The sequence below is a fragment of the Homo sapiens genome, chromosome 8, assembly GCF_000001405.40.
Source record: "Homo sapiens chromosome 8, GRCh38.p14 Primary Assembly".
Lineage (NCBI taxonomy): Eukaryota > Metazoa > Chordata > Mammalia > Primates > Hominidae > Homo > Homo sapiens.
Window position 1 is genome coordinate 7468571 of NC_000008.11, and position 12482 is coordinate 7481052.

The window sequence follows — 12482 nt, forward strand, 5'->3', positions numbered from 1 at the left end:
GCTAAGCAGTAGAGCTGGGATTCCAGGCTTTGCGTATTTGTACATGCCATGCTGTGCTGCCTCTGAACTGCACTTGAGATGTGGGGTCTAGGCCTGGTCTTGCCTAATATCGTGGCCAGTGTTAGGAAAACCACTAATCCGTCTGAACCTTAGTAACAGTGCCTAAAAGGTGAGGATGTTGACACTTACCATGCCTAATTCAAGAGTTTATGGTGAGGATCAAAGGAGATTATGTATTAAAAGTATTTTATAAAATACAAAATATGAGAATAATGAAAAGAGTCTAAAAAAATGTAAGACTAAAATAAATGTCACATTGTCTTATAGCGTGTTCTGTATGTTGCATTTGGAGTGTGGCATCCTTGGGGGTGGTTCAGTAGTTTCTTCTTTTCCTGTAATTGCAGTGTTGAGACCTAGGGGCTTGCCCAGATATGCACTCAATTTTCAGCACAATATTTTATAGATGGAATAGAAGTACACATCACCATCTGTGCAAGAGGCCTTGGAGGTAAACAACCTGAGGCAGTATGTGGACCTTCCAGGATCCAGATTCTAATAAATCAACTCTTAAAAAGGCACTTATGAAATGCTCAGGGTCATTTGAATACAGATTGGCTGTTAAATTGTATTTAGGAATGAATGCTGATTTTTTCCAGGGGTGATAATAGTATTGGGGTTCTATTTTACAAAACGAGTTCTTTCCCCCTGAGTTACACCTTCTAGAGTATTTTCAAATGGGCACCTTTGAAATAATTTATTTTTATTTGAGATAATCTAGGAGAGAGTTATCAAGGGATGAAACAAGACTAACCACATATTGAGGCTGGGCGATGCCTACGCGAAGGGCCATTACACTGTTTTGGTAGAAAGGGCACAATGCAGCCTCAGTTTCCACCCTGACAAGGTGAGGATGATGCTGCTTACCATGACTAGAAGCTCGTACGTGGCATTATGTCCTTCTATTAGGAAGCACAGGGTAGCAGGTTGTCTTTCTGGCTTATTTTAATCGCTGTTGACATTCCTTGGCTAGATCCCTGTTTCCCTATGTGTTTGCAAAATGGCGACACTCCTCATTTATTAGCTGGACTGCTTTCGAAGAGAGAAGCTTTTGACTACCTTAAAATTTGGTTTGGACAGGAAAGGCAGGCAGGTCAAATGTTTCATCACTCACCTTTCTTTACAGGTTTTCAGGATCAAGAATCCACAGCTCAGCGCAGGGCTGCTCTCTGCTGCCCTCTGCTGGATGGGACCCTCCACAGACGCCCACTTGATCAACCCCTTAAGCTCCAATGGGTTCCCAAGCTTGTCATCACACATCACCTCTTTTGTTTTTCTCCTCAGAGGTCTATGTTTTGAAATATAGTGTATTCTAAACAAGGCACACTTAACATTGATTTACTTTACATTTTAATTAACACACGATATATATAACTCCTGAGCAAAACTTTCGATCGGAAAAGAAAACCAATATTATCAGGATAAAAATGATGTTTTTCTTAGGTTTATAGCTGATTAGGTAGACATATTTTTTGTTCAACTTATAAAGTGTTGAAACTCATGCTTAACTCCCATTGTTATTCTCCATTATCACAACCAGAGGCGGCTTTCCAGCCTGTATTCTTCTTCAATCTCCTATATTGGCTTTGCATTGAGTGGAAGCTCAGCAAACCTTCTTTGATAACTGAACCCGTGGTTGCAATGGGGATGCCCTTGCTGCTAGGCCGCAGGAAGGAAAGCTACTGAGGTCCTACTTCCAGCGACTCTAGGGACCAGCACTACTGCGTTTCAGGGTTTTGTACGATTCAGTAAGCTCTCATCCCATTTTCTCAAACAGCATGCATAGGTGTTGGGACATCTTCCAATTCTGTATTCTTGGCTGCGACATTTCTTCCGGCAACGGGCAGTCCCATAACCACATATTCTGTCCAATTCAAATTCGCTTCTCACTAGATAACAGGATATGGCACTGTCATTAATTGCTTACTGGCACCAAAAGGCAAGGCTTTGGTAGAAGGTGTTTTCGGAGGGGGGTAGAGAATGCTAGTGCATGGTGGTAGAGGTTTTCCTGGACCCCCATCCTCCTCCACTTTCCTAGATGATTGACTTGACCTTCTGATTCCCAACCAGCATGGATTTTATTTGAAAATGTACATCATTCCATGTCACACTTATTTTCAAAATCCCTACAAGTTTACTATTGTTTTCTTTATTAAATCTCTCCAAGCCCCTTACTTGGTCTCCAAAGCAATCGTGATCTGATCTTGGGCCACTTTTTCAGACTCATGCTTTTCCACTGTGGCCCTCACTCTGTCCATGAAACTCTCGCCGGCTTCCCTTCTGTTCCGTGTGAGCTTACTCTTTGCTATCCTGGTACCTTCACGTGCACTGTCCCCTCTGCCTGGAAGGTTTTTCTTCCTTCCCATAAGTGAATTCTTTGAACTTTTATGTCTCAACCTTAAGTTCCCAATATTGGGCAAATCTTTCTCTGTCCTCTTCGTGTATTCAAATGCCCCAAAAGTATTTTTCTCCCTATGCATTTGTTATTCTTTTATATCACCTATCGCAAGTTGTAGTTATATATCTATGTATCTATATAGGTATATATATATACACATATATAGAGAGAGATACATACAAACATAGACATAGATATAGATATGTATATATGTATGTATATTTTGTTATTTGCTATTCTCATTCGAACTATGAGCTCCCTGACAATGAGGCCCATGTTTATGTTGCTTACCATTGTGTAACTGCTACCAGGAACATAGCCTGTTCTCAATAAGGACGTGGTGAGTAAATGATTGGATAGACTAGACCAGAATAAACTAGAGTGGTTGCAAGTAGAGAGGAGGAAACTAGAAAGGAGCAGAATCCTGATTGTTCGGCCGTTGGCCCAGAGCAGTTTTCAGGAGACATGGACTTAGCTTCTCAGTCTCAGGGTGCGCTCTCTGAGGCTGAAAGCAGCTTTGTAAAACTCATTATCTCACATGCCACACTGATAGGATCTTACAGAGATATCAGGAAAACCCAGAAGCAAGGCTGATGGTAGGGAGGACAGCGTAAGGTGGACCGAGAGAGTCTCGCTGGAGAGAGCTTTGCTAGAGGTTCTCTAGCAAACTCAGCAGGAGCCAGGCTTGGGAGAGGGTGTCAGAAGAACCCTGGGGAGAGGAGAGTCAGGGCTGCAAATGGACCTCTTTGCAGAGGTCGGGGCCCAAGAGTCCTAATTTCATCTTAGCCTTAAGTCCTTCTCCCCTGTTGCATCTGTTCCTTTTCTACAAAGCAGAAACGGGCTGCTAATCCTCGCACCAGGGTTTTATGTCTTTCATTTGTTCTGGTAAAGAGAAGCCTCCTGTTTCTGATGCTTAGGTATCAAGGTTCTTTGTCCAGGATGTAGGTGAGGACTAAAAGGCAGTTTGACCAATTCATGTGCTGGATAGGATATTGAAGGGGTTAATATTTGGAATGGCCCCACAGCGGGTGATGAGGAAAGACTGTTTTGCTGTAGGCTTCATTCAAAAGCAAGCCCCTGTGGTCACAGTACAAGGCAATGAAGAAAGGAGTGAGGTGGGCTGCAGTGTGTATCATGCTGAGGGAGTAGGTGGAGGTTGAGTAGCAGATATGTGCCTTCTGACATATCTGTGGCAGGTCGCTTTACAACCTGGAGTTAGAGGAGGAAAAAGAGGACAGCATGCTTGCTCAGGGAAAACGAAGCTTAGCGTTAGGGGAGAAGGAGAATAGACTAGGAAGAGAACCCAACCTTTAAAATGTTAGACTGTCAGTTTCAAACAAGCCCTCACAGGCCATCTATTTAGAGATGGGAATGAAGGCTCAGAGAAGGAAAGTGACTAATCTGACGTCACACAGCAACTTATGTGTCAAAGCTGGAACAGAAACCTAGTTGGTATGTCTTACAGTCTCAGTAAACAGAATGCAAAAGGGAGAATGCAGTCCATACACTAAGGCTGAGTAATAAACATTTCCTAAGCAATAAATACATTCCAGGGTAGACTACACTACACTAGTTTCTTTCTTGCATAAGCAATTTTCCTCCTCTGCTCTACAGACCCAGAAAATCTTAGGCAGGTCTCAGGTCTTAGTTAATGTAGAAAGTTTATTTTGTCAAGGTTGAGGACACACCTGTGACACAACCTCAGGAGGTCCTGAGGACATGTGCCCAAGGTGGTTGTGATACAGCTTGCTTGGTTTTATACATTTTAGGGAGACATAATACATCAATCAATACGTGTAAGATTTGCTTTGTTTTTTTTGTTTGTTTGTTTGTTTGTTTGGTTTTTTTTGAGACACAGTCTTGCTCTGTCGCCTAGGGTAGAGTGCAATGGCACGATCTCAGCTCACTGCAACCTCCACCTCTTGGGTTCAAGCGATTCTCCTGCCTCCGCCTCCTGAGCAGCTGGAATTACAGACATGCACCACCACACCCAGCTAATTTTTGTATTTTTAGTAGAGACGAGGTTTCACCGTGTTGGCCAGGCCAGTCTCGAACTCCTGACCTCAAGTGATCTGCAGACCTCAGCCTCCCAAAATGCTGAGATTACAGGTGTGAGCCACTACACCTGGCTGATTTACATTGGTTTGGTCCAGAAAGGTGGGACAATTCAAAGTGGGGGTGGCGGGGGGCCTGTGGGGGTGCAGTGGGAGTGTGTGGCAGGTGGCCTTCCAGGCTATAGGTAAATTTAAACATTTTCTGGTTGACAATTGATTGAGTTTGTCTAAAGACCTGGGATCAATAGACAGGAATGTTTGGGTTGCGACAAGAGGTTGTATTGTGGAGGCCAAAGTTGTATCATGCAGTTGATGCTTTTAGCTAGCAGGCTTCAGAGAGAACAGGCTGTAAAATGTTTCTTATCACACTTAAAGTCTGTGTTGATGTTCATGATGGAAAGTGTAATGAGGCATGTCCAACCCCCACTTCCTTTCATGGCCTGAAGCAGTCTTTCAGATTAAATTTTAAGAGCCCTGGCTGAGGAGGGAGTCCATTTAGATGGTTGGGGAGGGGGCTTAGAATTTTATTTTTGGTTGACAGCACCCATCCCCAGTCCCTGTGGGTATCTGAGGGGCTGACAGTGTGTGACAGCCAAACTTACCCAAAGCAGGGGTGGCAGGAGAAGAGGCAGGCAGCGCATGTCATTCACCCTCACCCACTTCTGCCACTTCCCTCCCTAATCCTCTTCCTGCTAATGGTCTTTCTCAGAATTCAACTGCAGAGGACAGTCTGACCCAGCCCTCAGCAGCCAAGTGTGGATAATGGCAGCCAGCTCTGCGGTGCATTCTTCGGGATCTGGAGGGATCCCTGACCCAGGCTTTCCATCCCAAGTTCTTTGTCTTGGGATCAAAGGTTGAAGAAAACCTGTTCTTTGATAAATTGCTATCATATTTTAACAGACCTGGAACATGCTCATAGCAGAATTTCACAGAAGTGTCTTTGGGAAATGACACGGGAAGAAAGAAAAAGGAAGAGTTAACCTAAACAGGTACCCTCTGAAAAAAAATCATTAACCCATCTGAATCACAGTGGAGGCACAGCCTGGAAGGGTAAAAAGATGGGTGCTGGGTGTCTGTCAAAGCCCCATAAAATTGACTGAGCAGCTTGGAAGAGAAGATCCGATGGCTTCTACGAGTCAAAACAATTGGTTTCGTCCCAGCACTGCTAGACTTGTTAAGCAACTCTAAAAATCTTATTTTCTCTCACTGTACTATAGAGAATGCTGCTCAGCTTGTAAAAGAAGGGAATTAGATTAGGTGCTCACTCATATCCATTGCAAATATATTAAGAAATACATGCTTCTGGGGACATAGATTAACGTAGGAGTCAGAAGATTGCTGACATCTCAGTCTAAAATTTCCTGAGCAGAGTTCAAAGGCACCTGCTATTTGTGTTGTCAGTAAATTACGTTCTTGCCTACTGAAATCACTGCATCCCCTTTAATCCTAATCATCTGACTTGATATGAAAAGTTGCAAAATTTAGGAGGATGAGTAGGCGCCCTTTCTGTGCAGAGTAAAGCTGTTCAGAAGGAGGAGGATGGGAGAAGGCATCTTATTCTACAAAATCAACAATGAATAATTGCTGCTGCCCTGCAATGGAACAAGCATGGCTAGTGAGTCCTCACTGCTGAGGATTCCATGAGGAATTGTTACCGTGTGTGGCCAGGGTGCCAAGGACATCTAGGACTCCTGATCCCTACGTTTCTTTTTTCCTCCTTGAGCTAGTAAGCCTCATGGCTGTAAGGTGCATACAAGGATTGCCACATACTGCATTTTACTAATGGACCCAATGAAAGCAAAGAGAAAAAAGGCTGAGATTGAAGAAGGTTACTCCATCCTTCAGGATTTATTTTCTAAATCAAATGTTTTTCTTCTCCCCCTGTCATCCCCAGCAACTGTGTATATTTCCAGCTGAGAGTCCCTTTTTACCTGGAAGATCTTGATAGAGTAGAAGAGAAATGGCTAATAGCAGCACAAGTCTCTGCATAATGCTGGGGCTGCTGGCGAGAAGCAGACGCAAGTCGGAGGGAATCACCCCAGGCAGGAGCAGGGCAGGTGTATTTATGGGCAGAGGCTGCTCTTGATTACTGAGGCTTATCAAAATGCAGCGTTCCTTGGTGAAGACTCACCAAGGCACAGTGTGGGGGAGGTGTTGGGGCTACAGAAATGCCAGCTGGGCAGTGTTGAGGGTGGGGAGACAGTATTACCATAGGTAAAGTCCAAGTCACTTCACTTGCTTCCCCGAATCGTTTCTGAAGCAAGAACTGGATTAGATGATCTCTAAGATACCTTCCAGCCTTGACATTCCTCAATTCTGGTGAGAGGACTTTCTCTTCCATTTCAGTACATTTCAGTCAGGAGATTCTTGTTGAAAACTGTGATGTGGCTAATGGAATTGAAGTCCATAGCCCCCAAGACCTCTCTGAAGTAAACATTGAAACAAACATACAACGTCAAGGAGAAGAATGGCATGGAGCGTGGGGAGGTCATAAATGCGTGAAAAGTCCCAGCACATTTCTGTGATAGAAAAAGTATAGGATGAGGATGACAAGTGACAACAAGGAATACTTGATGGCGGGCATTGTCCAAGGGTGGGATTGTAACCACAGAGCATCAGGCTCACTTAGGGCTTAGGTGAAAAGGAGGACAAGAATGAGAAGAGAGGTTAAAAGGAGACAATTCATGGGAATGCTGTATTTCTAACAATGGCTTCAAATAAAACATAACCTTCCAGAGAGCATACGCCTGGCCCTCAACCAGGGGTATATGCTCCCTGGATTTAACCCCAACCCCACCCGAGGCAAAACATATAGAGCATATGCTCCTGGCATTTGCCCTTAGGGAAAACACCAGATAATTTTATTTTAAGAAAAAAAAAAATACTTCATTTCTCTAAAATGAAATATTTTAGAGAAAGTAAAAACGTCCAATCTTGGAAGTTGACATTCTCGAATAAGCTCCCCTTATTCTAGAACACAGATTAGACAAAGCCTGACAGACATACGTTGCTTGCACATCCTAAGCAAAATCTAGCAGTCAGTGTGTCTTCCCCAGAGTTCTCACTTAGGGGAGAATGTGATGGAAAACCAGGTCTCCTTTCACAGTAACGGAATAGAATAGAACATCAGAAATCATAAACTATGCCAGTTTGGGTGCTCCATGAAGCATTTATCAACAGGAATTAGAAAGGAAATAAATTTATTGGGAAATGCCTGTGAAAGATAAAGGGGGGCCAGGCGCAGTGGCTCACACCTGTAAATCTCAGCACTTGGGGAGGCTGAGCGAGGGAGGAGGATCATGTGAGCTCAGGGGTTTGAGTCCATCATGGACGGCATAGAGAGACCCCGACTCTACACAAAAAGAAAATTAGCCAGGGATGGTGGTGTGTCCCTGTAGTCCCAGCTACTTGGGAGGCTGAGGCAGGGGGGTCTCTTGAGCCCGGAAGTTCGAGGTTGCAGTAAGCTATGATGGCACTACTGCACTCCAGTGTAGTAGGCAATACAGCAAAACCTTGTCTCTGAAAAAAATAAAATAAAATAAAAATTCAAAACAAAAAGATGATGGGGAGAGGGAGCAAGATTGAGTAGGGAAAGTCTTCAGAACATGACGTCAATTAACACCTGTGAAAAGGTTTGGAGTCGGGGGAGCCTCAGACTACAGTGCAGAAAATTTCAGCATTGCCAGTGGGGAACCCCAGGGCAAAGACTGTCCTACACCAGCAGACATGGCCCAGCTCTAGTCCACATTGTGCTCATTCACTGCCTGGAAGCAGCCAGGGCAAGAGTGGTAGCCATGGGAATCCTGCCGCAGGTTACAAACGTGCAGCACGTAGAGGCCGTCGGATACTCTCCTCACAGCAGACACACAGCAAGCACAAATGTGCAGGATCCATGGGACCCTCCTAGCCTGCCACATGTCAGGCTTTAGTAATTTTTGATGATGAGCTTCAAGGGAAAAACATCAGCCAATATTCAAGGTCATCTATGTGACCAGGATTCTGAAGAAAACTGAAAAATTCTGATGATAATAAATATTCAGCAATTCTTCAAAAAAAAAAGGTAATTCATATACAGGGACTGAATAACCAAACTTCAAAAGAAATCCTATATCTTCTTAGGAGAAAAAAATAATAAAAGCTTTATTTGCTGAGTCCTTATGAAGTATTTCAGAGTTCTGGTTTCGGTCGCTACAAGTAAAAAGACTGAAAGTAACTACTTTACTCCTTAAAGAAAGAAAAAAAAAGCCAAATAAATGGAAAAATCAATGACTTTTCTTGGACCCATTAGGGAACTGAGGGCTCCGGGCAAACCCATTGCGTGGAAATCTGGAGTCACAGCTGAGATGAGCTAACCTGGAATGGAAGCTCTGAAACCATAAACTAGCAGGAACACTTACGGTGACTTCGACAACTTGCTGGAGGCTGAACGTGGACATTTAGGAGAGTGAAAAACTGCTAGAGACCATGGTCAAAGGCTCTCCCTTCTCAACCCCTGCTTTCCTGGGTTTTAAATCCAGGAAGCCCCCAAGGTTATCATGGTGAAGAGCCAGAATGGAAGCCCTCATTGCCCTGAAAGGAGAAGGGAAGAGTGATATTGTGAAACATGTCCAGAGGATTCCCCATAACCAAAGCCTCCTCCTCTGCAGGAAAAACAATTTTACTCGAGCCATATCCCACCTGGAGGGGAAGACGTTTCCCTATTCCAGCCCCATCTGACCTTCCTGTCTCACTTGAGGGATGGGGGTAGCTAAGAATTTCTTGAGAGCCGGGCACGGTGGCTCATGCTTGTAACCCCAGCACTCTGGGAGGCCAAGGTGGGCAGATCACCAGGTCAGAAGTTCAAGACCAGCCTGCCCAATATGGTGAAACCACATCTCCACTTAAAAAGTACAAAAATTAGCCAGGTGTGGTGGTACACACCTGTAGTCCCAGCTACTTGGGACGCTGAGGCAGAAGAGTCACTGAACCTGGGAGGAGGAGGTTGAAGTGAGCCAAGATCATGCCACTGAACTCCAGCCTGGTGACAGAGATTTAAAAAAAAAAAAGTTCTTGTGACAGTCACAGTGCAGGGACACACAGGCTCAGGTAAAGATGAGATTTACTTATAAGATTATAGAATGCTTCCTTTTCCCCTGCCTCTTTTTTGTTCATCCCTTGCAGCTGTCTGAGACATAAGATCCTTAATATCATCCTCAGGTTAGTCCCATTCAACCATCGCCTCCATTTGCAGGCTTGACCAGGTCCCAGTATCATGTGGATAAATTGACAAAGATCAGGAAGTCATGGATTGTATGTTTAAATGAGGATTCTAAATTCCTCAGCAAATTCCTGGGGGTTTTCCTTTGGGTTAGGGAAGTCTTTCACTATTTCTGTCAGTTCGGATTTTGACCAAGACATAAAGGTAATTAAAGAAGGCAGACACAGTTGATCTGAGGAACTAACTTTAGAAGGCATTTTCCTAACTTGCTTCTCATCTTCATAGTAGAAAGGCAGCTGAGTGAAGAGGGTAGTGGAATCAGAGTAATTAGGCAGAGGAAGAAGAGAGACAGGAGGAAAAGAAGGAGCATTGAGAGTTGAGTGAGTCAATGTGCAATTTTTTATCATCACTGATTAAGTGCTTAAGCTTTTAATTTGCCTTTTGTAAAGAGTCTTTAAGAAAGGCAAGTTCTGATTTGCTTAGTCTTTTAGAAGCTTCTGCATGCCAATTAAAAACATATCTCATTTTTTTGAGGCATTTAAGATCACTTCTCTTTCAATGTAGCTTATAGATGAATAACTGTTTAGGTTAAAATTTCTTCACTGTGACCAGTGTAATTCTAAGTTGTCTTTAGTAAAGTTTACACATTTATTTAGAAAAACACAGGTTCTGGGTCCATAATTTTTATACATGAACGTAGCTAGAGTCCCAGATGGAGAGGTTCCAGACTACCTGGATACAGATGAACTCATGATTCTTTGTCTTCCCTAAACCCTGCCTTCTTAAGACCTTCTGTTGGACCCAGTCCAGTTTCTGCTGGATCCAGACACAGAGAGAAAGCGGTGAGTAAAACCGGCTCAGCTGGTAACTACATCTGGCTACTCATTGTCCCAGGAACCATTATCAGGGCTTCTTTGGGTCCCTCTTCTGACAACAGAAGTATTAAAAAATAAACTTAGGCACATAAAAATCTTAGAGTTTTCTTTTGAGCAGATATCAATTTAAGAATCGGGCAGGCTCCAAAACACAAGTCTTTTGGGGCTCACGCAAAGAGGCACGAGGAAAAGGCTTTTATAGGGTGAAAATGGAAGAAAGGCAAATTAAACATCTAATTGGTTAAGGTGGAGTATAAGCCTTATTCGAATCATTCCATTCCCTTGTTAGAGGTTAGTTGGTGGTTTCTGATTGGTTAAAGTTTTCTTTTACCATTCAAACCGAGTTGGGTTTTAGTTTGCTTATGTAGAAACCGAGTGCACTGAAGCTCCCGCAGTCTAATGGCCTCTCATTTAATTATTTTAACAAGAGAAATATTCTGTGTTCATATAATAGAGAATTTAACGTTAAGATGTCAATATTTACAACTTGACCTATAGATTAAATATAATCCCAGTCAAACTTTTAGCAAAATATGTTGTTGACATTTCCATACTGATTCAAAAGACCTAGGATCGTCAATACAATACCGGAAAGAACAAGGTTGGTGGATGATAGGGTTTCTGTCCCCATCTAAATCTCATCTTGGGTTCTTGCTCCCATAATCCCCATGAGTCATGGGAGGGACATGGTGAGAAGTAAATGAATCATGAGGTGTTTCTTTTCTGTGCTTTTCTCATGAAAATGAGTAAGTCTCACAAGATCTGATGGTTTTATAAAGGTCAGTTCCCCTGCACACGCTGTCTTTCCTGTCACCATGTAAGACATACCTTGCTCCTCCTTTGCCTTGAGTCATGATGGTGAGACCTCCCCAACTGTGTGGAACTGTAAGTCCATTAAACCTCTTTTTCTTCATAAATTACCCCATCTCGGATATTTATTTATAACAATGTGAAAATGGGTTAATACAGTGAACTTACACTACCTTATATCAAGACTCACTAAAAAACTGCAATGATGAAGGCAGTGTGGGAGTGGTGAAGCAATAAATAAATAGATCAAACAGAGAAACAGAACAGAATGGATAGCTCAGAAAAGATCAAAGCAACTCCTCTCTATCAAAGAAGCAAAGGTAATATAATGGAGGAAGAATAGTCTTCTCAACAAATGGTGCTTGAACAATTGATATCCCTATGCAAAAGAGAAAGAGAAGGAGAGGTAGAGAGGAGAAGAGGAGGCAATGAAGTGGGGGAAAAGAGGGAGGGAGGGAGAGAGAGAGAGAGAGAGAGAGAGAGAGAGATGGCCTACGATGAGGGAGTGATTAAACAAACTGTGGTTCATCCGTATCCTGGAATACTGCCCAACAATAAGAAGGAAAGAGCTATTGATAAATGCAACAACCTGGATGAATCCCCAGAAAGTTATGCTGACTGAAAAAAGCCAGTCTAATAAGGATATATACATTCTATTTATATGGCATTCCTAAAAGGACAAAATTGTAGAAATGGAGAATAAATCACTTATACAGGGGTTAAGACGGAGGTGGAGGTGTGAGGGAAGAGAGAGTGGCTCTGAAAGGGTAACATGAGAAGTCCTCCTGATAATGGAAATGTTATGCATCAGTGTCAATAACCTGGTTGTGATATTGCACTATGGTTTTACAAAGATGTTACTATTGAGGAAAATAGAGTAAAAGATCTGGGTATCTCTCTGCATTATTATTATTATTTTTGGAACTGTAGAGGAATCTACAATTACCTCAAACTAGAAAGTGTAACTAAAACATCCTTTTCATGAAAGGGTTATTGATTCTAATAGAATTAAATCTATCGACTTTGAAAAATTAAAGGGGAGGTAAGGCAAGATTTCTGAGCCAGCAGGAAACCAAAACTAACTCTTGAGC

At 42.9% G+C, this 12482-nt stretch overlaps 1 protein-coding gene across 1 annotated transcript; it reads right to left on the reverse strand.

Moving 5' to 3' along the window:
* DEFB104B (defensin beta 104B) lies at window positions 1738-6512 on the reverse strand. The gene is made up of 2 exons (NM_001040702.1): window positions 6441-6512; window positions 1738-1946 (listed from the first exon to the last, which is right to left on the reverse strand). The coding sequence occupies exons 1-2, from the start codon at window positions 6496-6498 to the stop codon at window positions 1786-1788; spliced, it is 219 nt and encodes a 72-aa protein (NP_001035792.1). The 5' UTR covers window positions 6499-6512; the 3' UTR covers window positions 1738-1785.
* Between the last annotated feature and the right edge of the window lie 5970 nt (window positions 6513-12482).

Coding starts and splice junctions, on each gene's coding strand:
- DEFB104B (NM_001040702.1), bottom strand. CDS start 6,498: ATGCAGAGACTTGTGCTGCTATTAGCCATTTCTCTTCTACTCTATCAA. Junction 1,947..6,440: donor ACTCTATCAAGATCTTCCAG/GTAAAAAGGGAC, acceptor CCTGTTATCTAG/TGAGAAGCGAATTTGAATTG.